The sequence below is a fragment of the Homo sapiens genome, chromosome 2, assembly GCF_000001405.40.
Source record: "Homo sapiens chromosome 2, GRCh38.p14 Primary Assembly".
NCBI lineage: Eukaryota > Metazoa > Chordata > Mammalia > Primates > Hominidae > Homo > Homo sapiens.
In genome coordinates, this window is record NC_000002.12 from 165317302 (window position 1) to 165334950 (window position 17649).

A 17649-nucleotide genomic window follows, 5' to 3' on the forward strand; every position below is an offset into this window, starting at 1 on the left:
GGCAAACCCCCTGTTTACAGTATTAGTCATTCTGAAAAGGAAGGAAGAAAAAGAAAGGGAGGGAGGGAGGGGGGAGAGAGAGAGAGAGGAAAAAAGGGAGCAAAGGAGGGAGGAAGATAGAGTATTTTTGCCTACATTTTTACCTAAGTTTGTCTGAATTTTTGCCTGAAGTTGTCTAAGTTTTGGCCAAAATTTGCCTAAATTTTGGCCTAGATTTGAAACTTCATATCAACTTCATATCAAACACTTACCACAGAGATTCTCTTCAATTTGCCTTATTTCTAATTGAATAAAACTAATTCTAGGCAAAATAGTGAAGCCTGATAAGGCTAGGCTCTGTCCTTCCTTTTTCTGTACATTTTGTTCATAGATATGATATTCTCCCAGCAGCCTCTTCTTCATACCTCTACATACCTCCATTTCCCAGCTAGTTGGGTATTATAAGCAATCACTGACTTAGAAGACATGGCATGGCTGGCTCATATTGATACTTGTTTCTTAAGCAGTCTCTATATAAAAATAGAGTTAAAGACTTTATTTTGCTTGATAAAGAAATAGTCAAACAAATGTCTAAGAGGATGGAGAGGGAGACAGAAAAAGACAGAGGGAAAGGGAAAGAAAGAGAAAGAGAGAGGGGGGAAAGGAGAAAAGGAAGAAGAGAGGAGAGACAGAAAACCCTGAAATCACACCAACCCCACTTGGCAAGCCCTGAAAGTAATACTGAAAATGTCAAACCAGATAGAAGTACTTAATCTTGGTATAGCAATGGAGGGCCCATCGTGTCTGTTAGATTTTTAAGAGTTTGAGACCCCAAAATATTAGGAATTATTGTTTTGTGATGACATGATTGTGTTGGTAACCATCTCTGTGTTTGTATTGAAAAACTATACAATGCAAGCCTTTACTGCAAGATTATAATTTCTTTAGTAGAGTAAGTGGAAATATGAATTGTTTCTCAGACTCTGATTTGACTTGTTAGTGTGGTAAAGAGGGGAGAAGAAAGTCAAGAATGTAATCTCTAAACAAGTTTCAAGATAATCTGGATTTTTTTGAAACCTTTATAAGGTACAATTGACCTTAAATCATTACTTTATTATTTATTTGTGATAAGCTAGGAGTTTAGGAGTTTTGCTTTTTAAAGATTGGTTTGGTATGGGGAATATTTCTTACTGGCCATCTTTTTTGTGTGTTACAGCATTTGATTACTATGCATTTATGTAATGAATGTCAGCAAAAGAAGTTGATGCTAACGGATGGGGCACAATCATTTCTCATATAGCTGTCACATGTAAACTACGTTTTTGTATAGCTTAATTCATCCATGATCCTTGAGAAACATGCAAACTTATAACTTATTTTCTTCCAACCCTTCTATGGCTCCAGCTGAATGGGGTACTGGCAGTTAAAATATAAACTCTTACTAAAAGCGATAGAAACATTCTTCATTGCAAAGCATGTATTGTTTGCCTTTCTTTTTTAGCTAATGAGGAGCAGTATGTCACACATCCTGCAAATCCCGTAACTGTTATTTCCTCATAGCTAATTCGAAGTCCCTTGTTAGAGGAGAGAAAGGAGACACGAAAAAGGATGGATAGTCTAAGAAAGGCTTTAAAAAATAACTACTTGTATGGAAAATGATAAAAGAAAAGAATGAATGTTACTAATGTAGTTAATAGGATTAAAAAGCATGGGAACAACAAGAGGAGAGATGACTTCTGTTGTGGGAGCAGTAAGTCTTCTTAGAAGTAGTTCTAGGCCGGGTGTGGTGGCTCATGCCTGTAATCCCAGCATTTTGGGAGGCCGAGACGGGCAGATCATGAGATCAGGAGATGAGACCATCCTGGCTAACACGGTGAAACCCCATCTCTACTAAAAAATACAAAAAATTAGCCAGGCGTGGTGGCAGGTGCCTGTAGTCCCAGCTGCTCGGGAGGCTGAGGCAGGAGAATGGTGTGAACCTGGGAGGTGGAGCTTGCAGTGAGCCGAGATCACGCCACTGCACTCCAGCCTGGGTGACAGAGTGAGACTCCGTCTCAAAAAATAAATAAATAAAAAAAAAGAAGTGGTTCTTACTGTAAATAATGAATAGAATCACATAAGATAGTGTTTAACATTTACAGACATTTAATAGAAACTAACAGATATTATTGAGAAAAAGTAATTCTTTAGCTGGAAAGAAAATAAAAAGCATACTTATTGGTCAGTGTATTACTCTGTTTTCATGCTGCTGATAAAGTTATACCCAAGACTGGGCAATTTGGCAAAGGAAGAGGTTTAATTGGACTTACAGTTCCATGTGGCTGGCAAAGCCTCACAATCATGGCAGAAAGCAAAGAGGAGCAAGCCACACCTTACATGGATGGTGGCAAGCAAAGAGAGAGTGAAAGCCAAGCAAAAGAAGTTTCTCCCCATATAACCACCAGATCTCATGAGACCCATTCAGTACCATGAGAACAGTATGGGGAAAACCCCTACCATGATTTAACTATCTCTGACCAGGTCCCTCCCACAACAGTGGGAATTATGGGAAATATAACTCAAGATGAGATCTGGGTGGGGACACAGAGAAATCATGTCATTCCACCCCCGGCCCCTCCCAAATCTCATGTCCTCACATTTCAAAATGAATCATGCCTTCCCAACAGTCCCCCAAAGTCTTAACTCATTTCAGCATTAATTCAAAAGTCCACAGTCCAAACAAAGCCTCATCGGAGACAAGGCAAGTCCTTTCCATCTATGAGCCTGAAAAATCAAAAGCAAGTTAGTTACTTCCTAGATACAATAGGGATACAGACATTAGCTAAATACAGCCATTCCAAATGGGAGAAATTGGCCAAAACAAAGGGGCTACATGCCCCATGCAAGTTCAAAATCCAGCAGGGCAGTCAAATCTTAAAGCTCAAAAATGATCTCCTTTGACTCCATGTCTCACATCCAGGTTACGCTGATGCAAGAGGTGGGTTCCCTTGGTCTTCAGCAGCTCCACCCCTGTCACTTTGCAGGGTACAGCTTCCCTCCTGACTACTTCCATGGGCTGGCATTGAATGTCTGTGGCTTTTCCAGGTACACGGTTCAAGATGTTGGTGGATCTATTATTCTTGGGTCTGGAGGACAGTGGCTCTCTTCTCACAGCTCCAGCAGGCAGTGCCCCAGTAGGGACCCTGTGTTGGGGCTCTGACCCCACATTTCCCTTCCTCACTGCCTTGGCAGAGGTTCTCCATGAGAGCCCTGCCCCTGCAGCAAACTTCTGCCTGTACATCCAGGTGTTTCTATACATCCTCTGAAATCTAGGCAGATGTTCCCAAATCCCAGTTATTGACTTCTGTGCACTGACAGGCTCAACACCATGTGGAAGCTGCCAAGGCTTGAGGCTTGCACCCTCTGAAGCCATGGGCCTAGCTCTACATTTGCCCCTTTCAGCCATGGCTGGAGCCGCAGAGATACAGGGCACCAAGTTCCTAGGCTGCACACAGCGTGGGACTCTGGACCCGGCACATGAAACCACTTTTTCCTCCTAGGCCTCCGAGCCTGTGACGGGAGGGGCTGCTGCAAAGATCTCTGACATGCCCTGGAGACATTTTCTCCATTGTCTTGGGGATTAACATTCAGCTCCTCATTACTTATGCAAATTTCTACAGCCTGCTTGAATTTCTCTTCAGGAAATGGGATTTTCTTTTCTGTCACATTGTCAGGCTGCAAATTTTCCAAACTTTTATGTTCTGCTTCCCTTATGAAACTGAATACCTTTAGCAGTACCTAAGTCACCACTTGAATGCTTTGCTGCTTAGAAATTTCTTCTGCCAGATACTCTAAATCATCTCTCCCAAGTTCAAAGTTCCACAAATCTCTAGGACAGGGCCAAAATGCCACCAGTCTCTTTGCTAAAATATAACAAGAGTCACCTTTGCTCCATTTCCCAACAAGTTCCTCATCTCCATGAGAGACCACTTTAGCCTGGACCTTATTGTCCATATTGCCATCAGGCTTTTGGTCAAAGCCATTCAATAAGTCTCTAGAAAGTTCCAAACTTTCTCACATTTTCCTGTGTTCTTCCGAGCCCTCCAAACTGTTCCATCCTCTGCCTGTTATCCAGTTCCAAAGCTGCTTCCACATTTTTGGGTATCTTTTCAGCAGCGTCCCACTCCTGGTATCAATTTACTGTATTAATCTGTTTTCATGCTGCTGATAAAGACATACCTGAGACTGGGCAATTTACCAAAGAAAGACATTTAATTGGACTTACAGTTCCATGTGGCTGGGGAAGCCTCACAATCATGGCAGAAGGCAAAGAGGAGCAAGTCACATCTTACATGGATGGTGTCAGGCAAAGAGAGAGTGAGAGCCAAGTGAAAGGGATTTCTCCCCATAAAATCATTAGATCTCATGAGACTTATTCACTACCATGAGAACAGTATGGAGAAAACTGCCACTATGATTCAACTATTTCCCACCATGTCCCTCCCCCAACAATGGAAATTATGGGAGATACAACTCAAGATGAGATCTGGGTGGGGACACAGCCAAACCATATTAGTCAGGCATATAAAAACCTAGATATTAGTAGGTATAAAATAATGGTTTTAGTTAGTTTTGAACCTTTGGAGAGGAAAAGATCAAACCAATAATACTTAAATGATGAAGTTAGTATTCTTTCCAATAATAATTACATAAATCCAATGCAAGCTGGCTGAAGTAAAAAAGAGAATGTATTAGATGATATAAATTATGTCTGTGAGTAGCTTTAGGCATGGATGGATCCAGAAGCTCAAGACATGTTACCATGACCATGTCTTTCTCCATATCTGAATCTAGGTTCCTCCCACATGGTGGCAAGATGTCACTGCAGCTCCAAACTTAAAGCCAATATTTTTAGCAGCCTCAAGTGAAAAAGCACCATTTCCTCAACAGTTGTAAAAGACAGGGATATCTTTCAATTGACCAAGCAGGATTTCATGACCATCTTTAAATTACGTATCGAATACACTGATTGGCTAGGCCTAGGACAGTGCCTGGAACACTGGGAGACCCGAGCCTCAAGTCCTGCTGCATCCAGGAGTTGAAATTAGTGTCTCCCAGATAACCTGGTCTGAGAGTTGAGGATTATTTCTCAAGGCTGAACAGGGTACTGATTTAAAAAAACAAAAAATTAAATGGTTGTGATCAGCCTCTTAGTGAAAATTAAGTTTTTGTAAATATTGCCCTCAGATTTCTTGAGACAGAGACAAAGGGGTGAAAATTGGGGAATAAATCATACAGTTATTTCAGCTTGATTTAATTTATTCATGAAGACCATCATAAAATATGCAAAGGGAAGTGGAGAAGCTGCCCCGTGTACTATAATTAAACATCCCTACTAGCAAGATTAATTATATTTCCTCCATGGTAAGATTTGCATCAGGGTGTGGTCACTAGCGAGCTCTTACTGGCTACATTTTTGACCTCAGAGGATCTAAAGGTAGATTTGTGTTTAATTGTTTTCCATTGGGTTGTTAACTGAAATTAACTTCTAAAGAAGGGTCTATCAACAGTATCAGTTCTAGATGCCCGTAACAGGACAAAACATTATGGGGACACTTCTGACTATGTTGAGGTGTGGGTAAAGTAGGAGAAAAGAGAGCAGAAGATGGAAAATGGAGGAAGGAGAAAAAGCGAGAGTGAAATAGAAAAGGTGAACCTTGTAGAAAGTGCCAAAATGCCACCAGCAGTCATCAGAGGGGTGCTTTCTTCCACATGTCCAATGACTTATCCTTGAGTAAGTCAATGACTATGACACAATGAATCAAATTCTGTTTTTCAGAATGCCAGCTCTTAACTCTCTTCATCTCATTTTTGTTTCTTCTCTTGTTATTCATAGTCCTTACTGAGCATCCGTGGCTCCCTTTTCTCTCCAAGACGCAACAGTAGGGCGAGCCTTTTCAGCTTCAGAGGTCGAGCAAAGGACATTGGCTCTGAGAATGACTTTGCTGATGATGAGCACAGCACCTTTGAGGACAATGACAGCCGAAGAGACTCTCTGTTCGTGCCGCACAGACATGGAGAACGGCGCCACAGCAATGTCAGCCAGGCCAGCCGTGCCTCCAGGGTGCTCCCCATCCTGCCCATGAATGGGAAGATGCATAGCGCTGTGGACTGCAATGGTGTGGTCTCCCTGGTCGGGGGCCCTTCTACCCTCACATCTGCTGGGCAGCTCCTACCAGAGGTGAGGCCAATTAAAATTGCAGCTGATGTGAAGAGAGTTGTGACTGGTGCAGGCAGGAGTGTTTTTCCATTTCCACATCTAAGAATTTGTTGAGTTTGTTGCCCAAAGGCTGGGAGTTTGTTCAATCAAGCTGTTAACTGTCTTGTGAAACTGTTCTATTCAGACTTTTCTACAAAGTAATTAAAAACCTAGGTTGGCTGTCAGAGAATATAATTAGAAGTAATCTTTCATCATTATTACTATGGTATGAAACTCGCCAAAAAGCAAAGCAACAATTTATCAAGCATAATGTTTGATTAATATAGTTAAATTAAATCCAAGGAAATTAATGCTCACTAATTAAATAAATACTTAAGGATTTTGTGATTGTTGTTCATTTAAAAGGAGATTTGAATACTTCCACTTGCAGTAGATACTATTACTAAATAGATTTAAATCCCATAGTACAACATTGCCTCTCTTTGCAGGTCAGAGTGTTGTAACCTTTTTAGCATCCACTCTAATGATCTCAACCATTGTAAATTTATACATGAAGAGCCATTCAAAAAGTACCTGGTTTGGAATCATGGGCTGTCATTTTTAGAGCAGATTCCAATTTTTATATTACTGTCATAAACTCTTATTGTAAACAAAGTGGCCCAAAACCAATCACATGGAAAAGGATTTCAGCTACATACTAGACACTTACAGGGCTATATTATTGAAATTTACTTCATAAACCATAAGAAGCTTTTAATGTTGGTATTAAATAAAATTCCATTAGCTATCAAGACATATTTTGGCAATGTCACTTGATTGTATTTTATAGCATTCAAAATGTCTTCTTATGATTTTTTTTTCACATAGCTCCATTTATTATCATTGAACAAGCTCTTTGAGCCACATTAAAATGATACGGAGTTCGTTTTCAGTTACCTAATGGAGGAGCTTCTTATCTTGGATTATAAAATAGCCATTATCTTCTTCACATTTTTTGCATGGCCTCTCCCCACCTCCTTCTACCAGAGAAGTGTCCAGGTATCCTGCAGTCAGGTTGAACCATGAGAAAAGTAGAACTTTATAGTGGAGGAACCAGGAAGAATGAAGAGAGGACATCAGCTCTTCTTAAAAAATGATCATAGATAACCATGTACCAGACACTGTCCAGAACACTGTACATGTGTTAAGAATCATTTAAGCATCATAACAACCCTTTTTGATAGTTAGTAACATTATCCCAATTTTACAGAGGAGGAAACTGAGGCTTGTGCGTGGTGGAGCTAAGATTTGACCCCAGGTATGCTGGTTACTGAACCTACATTCTATCAACAGTGAAATATTGCCTCCCACTGAGTTATTTTTAATTTCTTTAAATCAAAAAGAAGAGATGGTTAAGGAAATAAACACATAAACACTTTCATTTTAACCAATGTTTCTCAAAATATACTTCACTTTCATACTACTTACATCAGAATCTCATGGGAGGCTTCTTAAAACTAGAGATTCCTGTGCCTACCCAGACCTTTTCAGACCAAACCACTGAGGAGAACAAGGTCTGGGAATCTTCTTCCTTAACAAGCATCCCACATAATTCTTATACATAATAAAGTATGTTTATCACTGATCTTGATAAATGTTAATTGGGTAAACAAAAGCAAATCTACAATTACCATGCAGGAATACAGACAGACTGTCAGTCTGTCAGAAATTATTTAGCATTTATCAATAATTATCATAAATCTCCTGTCCTATCAGAGATGATGGGACAAATCGCTGAAGGCAAAGTTGGGGCCAGCTTGAAGCAAAGCTTTGTGTGGTCCCTTTATTTCCTGCTTCCTCAACTTCATTCTTTAATCTTACAATCTTAAGTGCTTTGAGGCAGGGCACTGTACTATTGCAAAGTTGAGCTGAAGGTGCAAACAAATGAAGTAGGCTTTTGGAGAATGCAGAGGTGAAATGACAATAGAAAATAAATAGCTATGGGCAAATGACACCCTTGAAAGCACATCATTTCCTGTACTTTACACATAAATTCAATCGAGTAATGTCATTAGCAGTTTTGGAATCTATTTGAAAATTAGACAAATCTAGGTTTGTACATGTGCTTCTGTGTAGAACAGAAGGGACTAGATGATCTTCATGTGACTATTTTTTTTTTCCTTAAAACTTTGCCTCTTTCTGACAAGCTGAAATATTTTAAATTCTAAGAGGCACCCTTTGGATTAAAAGACTTTTATTTTTAGAGATAGGTTATTTCTTTTCTTACTAATTTTACTTGTTTTTTTACCTTAAAATTAATTTTAGAATGACCTATATGAATAGTTATCACCATTAGTGACAATCATATGCAATGAGTGGAAATTTTGGTTTTGAATATGTATGCATTAAAATAATTCAACTTACAAAAGATAAAATACTGCTAATTGTTCACATCATAATAGGATGTGACCAAAATAAATAATATTTTGATCATATTATTATATTTTGATCATATTGTTCTTTTAGAAATAGGGAAAGTCCTCAAAGGAATGAAACTTTTTAATTTATTATTAACACTCAGACCTGCATTTGAAATTCTTTAGCTTTACCTTTTTTTTTCCTGTGATAATTGACATCATTGTTTGATCTCCTGAAGTAGGAATAAATTTCCACCCATGTTGAAATCCTGATGAGTTTATTCTGGAGTAGGAGATTATCAGATCATTGTATCATTACTAAAAATCACAGTCCCCCACATTGGTATTATCTCCTTAAATTATAGTCTCAGTGCCAAGGGTGGATTGTTTTGTGGATTAAGTTGTTTTTCAAATATAGGACAAAGTTATAGACTAGTTCTAAAATTTAGTTTTGTAATTAGGAATGTTGGGAAATATTACCTGTGTCTAATGAATGAAGGCATTTTGCAACTGGAATTCACATTTTAGGGGAACTGTTACTGATGCATATGAAGGAGACTTTCAAACCTTTTTGTTCATATATTAAACTACCTGAATATATGTCTATAAAGATCTAAAAACTCAACCTGGGTGAAAATTAAGAAACAATATGTTTTGGTCTGAAGTCCTAAGTGGGATTGGCTGAAATGCTAAAAGGTTATCTGTCCAGTAGTGGACCTGGTCCCTCCAGCCCAAATCCCTGGGATAGAGGCATAGGAAAGCCCACCTTGACAAACCCAGGGCTCCCCAAAAGCTGAAAATCTGACAGACTTTTAAACAACCCCCAAAGAATTATCATTCCAACAATATCTTAGTGAGCTTTTTACATCTGAGAAAGCATGGTGTATATTTAGTTAAATAACACCTGTTGTAGGAATGCTTTGGGCTTTGCTGCTTTCAAAAATAGTGGTTATTTCATCTGAAATTCTACTTCTAGGGCACAACTACTGAAACAGAAATAAGAAAGAGACGGTCCAGTTCTTATCATGTTTCCATGGATTTATTGGAAGATCCTACATCAAGGCAAAGAGCAATGAGTATAGCCAGTATTTTGACCAACACCATGGAAGGTATGTTAAAAGTCCTGCGTCACAGTTACTTGGTGCTTTGGTAATGATGAAAAAACACTTCATAAATTTCAATAAAATACTTCCTGACTTGATATTGTATCATTATTACACATTTTACTAAATAACAGTAAAATCCGTGCATAACTCATGGATTCTATTATCTTCCACAGATTTTTTTTTTTTATATTTAGCCTCCAGAAAGCTGCTGCAAATGTAAGGTATATTTTGAACACCACTTTCATACATTAAATTCTAAACATTGAAACTTGTGTGCATGACGTTGAAAAGAGTGTAATGATAAATGCTTATACTTATGATGATGCTAAGCCATTTGGATTATATTAACTGCTTGAGACACAAGTTATAAAATCCTATGACTTAACCAGAAATATAAATTAAAAATGTGAATTAGGGTTTGATATTAACTTCCTTGAAGCAAAGTGTTTAAAATTTTGTAGTCCTACTTTTGCCTTTCTCTGACCAGATTCTTACAATATATCAGCTTTCTCTTTAGTTGCAGATTTTATCTGAATAGTTAACATAATGTGTAGCAGTCTGGATCTCAGAATGCCAAAATAAAGACTTTGGGGACAGCTTAATCTGTGATCAATTTCTGGCTCTGCCATATGTTAAATGTGTTAATTTGTGACTTTGAATTTCAGTCTCCTCATCAGTAAAATGTGGATGATGATGTTTAGGCATAAGGTTGTTGAATGGATTAAATAAGCCTTCTTAGATAAAACACTGATGTATTTGGCATGCAGAAGACAGTTAATAAATATTATCAATATTAGTTGTTTTGTTGTTGTTATTTTTGTTAATTCACATGTTTTTGCCTTTCCATACTGTAAGTGAATTCAAACAACTGTCAACTTCAACTACTTGGAAAATATTTTCATGTAAAATGTATTCTATCCCCCTTCCTTGCCCTCCTATTCCCTCCTCTCCCTATCTCTTTACAAACCTTCTCCCTTGTACCCCTTCCCAGGTATGTGTGTGAGTGTGAGTGTGTGTAGATGTGTCAAGGGAGAAGAGAAAAGGAGAATGAAAGCAAAAGAGAGCAAGCATACACGTCCCTTTCTTATTGATAATTAGATTTTCTCTTGAGATTGGATAGATTCCTGGAATAATTCTTTTCCTGTCTGTATGCAAAGATCCCATAATATTATTAATACCAATACGAAAAGCCTGAAAATCACAGCCAGAAAAAATTCACAGTGTAGACGACTGTGTACATCACAGACAAGTCAGTATTACAAAACCCAATTTTCATAGTGTCCTATTTCAGTATCCTAATGCAATTCACTGATTTCAATTGAATATTAAACTCTAGTACGTTCTTCCCCAACCTCGCCTGCGTTAGCTTGCACTCCCTCTTCCCCCCAGCTGCCAGTAGCTTGCTCCTCCCTGTCCCTCCAGGTAAATCTTTTGAAGATTGTCTGGCCTTCCGCTCCTTGCCATAGCAAAACCACTGAGAGGAAGCTGCCAGTGGTTCTGCTACCGATGTCAGCAGCATGTCTGCTCCCTAAAGCAGGAAGTAGAGAAGGAGACAGGGTAAGTCTAAATCAACAGTCATGCTTTGCACTTCTGATAGCATTAAGTTTGAGCTAAATAAGACATTACTTAAAAAACCTCAAATATCCACAAGATTGGACTTGCCAACTAATTAAGATTTGGAGTTCAAAATAAATGCACCCACACCTTTCTCCATGGAACTATGTGACATGGGGTTGCTTAGGATGGAAAGGATGTTCTAGGAATAAGTGCAATCTAGGAAGCTGAAGACTGAGAGTGTTTTCGTTTTATTATCTGCAGAGCTTTTGACTTGTGTATTTGTGAGAAATAATGGCCAAGTTTTTATTCTGTTTTTAATCAGTTATCTAGAATGAAAACTGACTTTTCTTTATTCAATTGTATGTAGACACATTGAGTGTGACATTTGTCAAGGTTGGTTGTTAGCAATATCACATACATGCATACTCAAGCAGACTTAAGATAGTCCTTTTTTTTTTTTTTTTTTTTTTTGGTTTCTGATAATGGTGCAAAGTTTTCCTGGTTGACATAATCTCTTTTCTTGGGGATCCTTTCTTCTATGTCTGATTATTGTTTATTTCACCTTTCCTTTTTATGAACCAGGCTTGTTGATCCGGTTGGCAATTTTTGTTCTCCTTCTTTTTAACTACAGCCAAGTCTCCGTTGTCCAGGGTAATGGATAGCCTCATGCTTAATGAAGCAGTAGTGGATAAGCAAAAATGAACCATTTGCGTTTCAAATTTTTAAAAGTGCAAAATCACATAGAAATGTTTTCTGGTCACACCTTTGTGAAGGATGGTGGGAGGGTGAGTTAGAAGCGCCTGAAGAATCAAGGTGAGCCAGCAAAAGACACAGATTTACTGTAAGTGATTCTATGTGGATAACCCATGCAGGAATAATGGAGATGTGGCTGCAGTTCTCTCCTGAATGCTTTGCTTTGTTTTAAAGTGTGAGATTCCCCCCTTTTTTTTGGAATGAATAATTGAATGATTTTATTTTAGAACTTAAACAACTTTGCTCCGGTTATTCCTACTGTCAAGATGAGCCACACCTGCTGAATTTCATTTTTTAAACTTTTCTCCAGTTTATTTTTTTTCTATCCAGTTCCTGTTTGCTTCTCGTTATTTGCTAAATGACAGCTGGCATGGAAAGAAAAAACCATATTATGGCAGTATACAGACAAAATTAAATTTTGTAGTTTCTTTTTTGTTATTTACTGTAAATAATAATACCTCCTTTTTACCTTCAATGTAAATATAAGGTTATTTGGGAGTTTAGAAGTATTTACAAAATAACTAGTGCATAATAACTATATTTTTCTCTGAATTATAAATCAAATATTATTTATTGTTTACAAAGTTATGTATTAAGGGAAATGGAAACAAACTGGGCACTTGAAGAATTTCAATATCCAAAGAGACAATTGACAAATCTATTTTTAGTGGAAATTTTAAAAACAATAAGCAATAAATTAATTTACTTAGGAAAATAGTATTATAGAATTAATTAGTGGCAAATGTTGATTAGTAGAAGAAACATTATCATCTGTGGTTGTGATTGTCCTTTTATATGCTGGTTCCACCTTTACAAGGTTTAGTTCATAGCAAACTGTGCCAGATATGGACAGATGTTCCAGTTGCCACAATAGTATTAAAGTGACTGACTAGAGTCAACTATGCCATGGATTTAAAAAGAAGAAACCTTCCCTCTATTTCAGTGCTAAGAGGTGGTGGCCACATTTTGGCAGAACAGGTAATAGGGTGTACAGCAATGATATTGACAGAAAACAACAAATTCTGCATATTTTTCCACTCATAAGTTGATGAAGAGATTATCTTGCCAAAGGAAGATGGTAGACAGTTTTTCACTTCCTAATTCCCCAAATTTCTTTGCCAATATTCACCAAATTTCAGTATTTTGGGTGTGACCTTAAAGATCTGTGCATTTCTGTCTTCTCTCCCAATGTTTGGTTGAAATTCTTCTTGACATCATTGTACATTTTCCTTGAATAAATGCATTTTAATATAAAATTTTATGTCATGTTTGATATGAGAGTTATATATTTAAATACATTTAAATAAATGTTTACCATGAAAATGTATGAATTATATGTATGTTTCACCTAAAATCCTTTGTATTTTTCCAGTAATAAATGAGTTCCACTTTGTGAAATGTTGATTTGTAACAACAGTGAGGACTCCAGTTCCTTAGGCTGGGGTATTTTCTCTTCTTTTATGCCCTCTAGTTAAATGAGAAATGTAGAGAGATGGAACTTTGTTGTGTCTAATATGCAAGCCTATAATCTAATAAAATTTAATTTGAGACTTTTAAACTGAGATTGGTGACACTGACAAAATTATCTAATTAGAAGATCACCAAAACATATCTAATCCAAGAAACTGACATTCAGTGTGACTGATTAAGGTTCTTAGGACATCTCCTGAGATATCTCTGATAACATATATACTTCTTGCTCTACCTGGAACATGGATGAGCTTTAAGTGTATGCAATGCAAGTTCTACCCATTAGTTTCTAGCAGCCTTGAAGATAAGTATCAGACAGTTTAGTGTTGCCAATAGAATCTTGGAAGCTATGTTTAGCCAGGATACATTTGGAAAGCTTACTAGCCTTTCTGTACTGATCCTTTCTATGACAGCAAACCCATTGTAAAATTTTCCCTGTTCCTCCAGCAGATTAACCCATAATATCTTTTAACAACTTTAGATTTTTTAAATTCCTTTTAATTTAAACCAAATCTGCTTAATAGAAAGTAAGCAGTTTTCATGAGGATTCTAACTTTTTTTCTTCCAGAACTTGAAGAATCCAGACAGAAATGCCCACCATGCTGGTATAAATTTGCTAATATGTGTTTGATTTGGGACTGTTGTAAACCATGGTTAAAGGTGAAACACCTTGTCAACCTGGTTGTAATGGACCCATTTGTTGACCTGGCCATCACCATCTGCATTGTCTTAAATACACTCTTCATGGCTATGGAGCACTATCCCATGACGGAGCAGTTCAGCAGTGTACTGTCTGTTGGAAACCTGGTAAGCCTCACTGAGAGTTTCTCTTCCTCTTGAAAGAGTTTATAATTGCCTTAGTGAATTTTACATATTGCTCTCAAATTAAATATCAACTAATTGGCCATGTATATCTTGACATCAAATGTTTAGCATCCCTTTTAAATAACAAAAAAATGTTGCTACCATAGTGCAAAAGAGTCAAAGAATTTATGTACAATTTGATTTAGAATTGAATTTAAATTGCTTATTTATTAGAAGATGATTCTGAATTGTCCTCCAAGGACATTGATCTATAGCAAAATTCTGACATATTTTTAAGAACCTTAGAATAGGTTCTTTAGGACATGTCTGTGTTTACTAAACAAATGATAAAATATGCCCAAGTCAGATAATTTTGAAATATCACTTGTAAGTACTTGAAGATGGACTATGTAGGGAGGGGACATCATCTGGGGGATTATTATTTTTTGTTTTTGTTTCTTCTACAGTCTTAGCAATATTAAATTTAGAAATTATTTATTTAATTTTGTTAAAATATATATTAGCATTTACTGGATACATATTGATATTATAATATAGTATACTATAGTGATAGATTTTAAAGTGGTCTTATACAGAGAGACAAAATGAAGAAAATCACGCAAAAAAGTATATTTATACAAGTATAAAATGCTTATTAAGTTCCCAGCTTGATAAATGAACATATAAGCAGGTTATATAGAGATTGTAAATAATACGGTCTAAAGTATAATATACAATATTTTTAGGCTCTGAAGTAACCACTATATTTTCGAATTATATTTCAGGTAGGACTTAACTGAATTAAATGATAAAGTTGGCATATGTTGGCCTCTTATTTTGTATCAGATATTGGACTAAATGGTTTACATTAAATCTCTCTCTCTAGATTCCCACAAAACCAGTCTTAAGATATTTACTATAAATTGTCTGTATTTCGCAGTTGGGAAACTGTATCCATGAGAAATTAACAGAGAAATGGAAGGTCTGAATGCTGTATCAGACTCTGAAAGCTATTTCAGAGACTATCATAAGCTATGGGCAAAGATCACAGACGCTTAGAGTAGGAAAGGATAATAATTTTACCTAGTTCAAATTTAGAGCTATGTAAGAATTTCTTCAACATTATTTCTAAAAAAAAGCAGGGTGGTGGGGTGGCAATTGAAACAAGAAAGCCTTTGGAGGTAATATATTGTGATCCAAATTGAATGAGCTTAAGCAAAAATAAAGGGAATTCATTACCTCACTTTACTGAAGCCCATTTGGAACTAGTTCTAGGTTCTAACCTGGCTAGATTCAGGTTCTCAGCCAGCATCATTGGGAATCAGCTTCTTGTCTCTCTTCTTCCCAATATGTGACCTTCCTCTCTGGCTGGGCATTTTCCTACTATTGCCAAGATTCTATCAACTTTTATTCTACTAATGTAGCTCCATGTACAGAAAGTTTGTGCCTCCTAACTAGTAGCTTTAATTAAGGCCCACAAATTGAATATCATTGACCTGGTTGGAGTTACATGGCCATTTCTAAACCAGTCAGTTACCCTAGCTCTTGGTTTTAATGCCATATTCGCCTAAATCAGAATCATATCTTATCACTGGAGGCAGAGTAAATGAGTGAAATTATGAAGACAATAATTAGGATACCATTACCAGAAGGAGGATGGATTCTAGAAAGAAATAAACAATAAATAGACAACTCAAGCTGGGGCTGGTCTTACGTGTTAAGGAATGTAGGATCTGTATCTAAGGTGAATTATGGAATAGTAGAAAATCCATAGGCAGGATACACATTCTTCTCAAATGCCTATAGGATATTCCCTAGGATAAGTTATAGGTTAGGTCATAAAACACACATCAATAAACTTAAAAAAATTAAAATAATACAGAATATTTTTCTGATAAAAAATAAAATGAAATTAGAAACCAATAACAAGTCAATGTGGAAAATCACAAATATTTGGAAATTAAACAACTTGCTCTTAAATAACCAATGAGTCAATAAGATGTCATGAGAGAAATTAGAAAATACTTTAGGATGACTGAAAATCAAAACAAACCAAACTGAAATTAATGAGGGCAGCTAAAACAATATTTAAAGACAAATTTATACTCTAAATGTCTATAGTAAAATAGGAGATTTCCCAAATTGCTAATTTAAGCTCCTTTTTAATAAACTAGATAAAGAATAGCAAATTAAACCTGAAGTTAACAGAAAAGACAAATATTAAAGAAGAGAAAAACAACAGAGAAAAATCAATAAAACCAAAAGTTATTTCTTTGAAAAAATCAACACAATTGACAAATCTTTAGTTGGGCTAACCAAGAAAAAAAGAGGAAAGACACTAATTATTAGAAGTAGGAATGAAGAGAGGATATTACCATGGATCTTTTAGAAAGAAAAAGGGAGCATAAGAAATAAAATAAAATTAAACGCCAGCAAACTAGATAACCTATGTGAAATTGAAAAATTCCTAGGGAGTAACAAGCGCCTGAAACTGACTCAAGAAGTAATAGACTATCTCAATATACTTATAATAAGTAAACATTGAATTCACAATTAAAAAAAAGAAAACTTCCTGCCAAAAAAAGCCTGAGCCCAGATAGTATCACTGGTGAATTTTGCCAAATGTTCAATGGAGCGTTAACATCAATCCTTAACAAACTGTTCCAACACATAGAAGAGAAGGGAATACTTCTCACCTCACTTTCTGAAGCTAGAATTACCCTGATATTAATGCCAGACAAAAATAATGCAAGAAAAGAACACAGACACAAATATAGACCAGCCATATCCCATATGAACATAGGCACAACAATCCTCAACAAAATACTAGAAGCCAAATCACATAACATATTTAGATTTTTAGATTATGTACTCTGAATAAGTGAAATTTATCCCAGTGATGCAGGGCTGGACCAGCATAAAAAATTAATGTAATATATCATATTAATTTTAAAAAACTATACAATCATCTCTATAGATGCTGTAATCACATGGAAAAAGCCAAAGTGTTTCATGATAAAAACACTCAGCAAACTTGAAATAGAAAAGAACTTCAGCCTGATAAACACCATCTCAAAAGACCCCACACCTATCATCATTCTTAATAGTTACTTTAGATGCTTTTATCTTCAGGTCAAGAAGAAGGCAAGGATATTTGCTCTTGCTACTTCTTTTCAATATTGTACTGAAAGTTCTAACCAGGGAAATAAGACAAGAAAAAGAAATTAATGGCATCTAGATTGGAACACAAGAAGTAAATTCTATTAACGAATACATAATCTTGTATTTAGAAAATCCTATAAAATACACACACACACACACACAGCTGTTAGAACTAATAAATAAGATTGCAGAATACAAGATCAATATACAAAACTCAATTATA

At 36.4% G+C, this 17649-nt stretch overlaps 1 protein-coding gene across 5 annotated transcripts in view; it reads left to right on the forward strand.

Moving 5' to 3' along the window:
* SCN2A (sodium voltage-gated channel alpha subunit 2) overlaps window positions 1-17649 on the forward strand; it is a 152891-nt gene that overhangs the window by 77888 nt on the left and 57354 nt on the right. For all 5 annotated transcript variants that reach the window (NM_001040143.2, NM_001371246.1, NM_001040142.2 and 2 more), the window contains 3 exons: window positions 5855-6199; window positions 9551-9683; window positions 14029-14267. In NM_001040143.2, the coding sequence (NP_001035233.1) occupies window positions 5855-6199; window positions 9551-9683; window positions 14029-14267 (717 nt within the window). The remainder of the gene's footprint in view (window positions 1-5854; window positions 6200-9550; window positions 9684-14028; window positions 14268-17649) is intronic.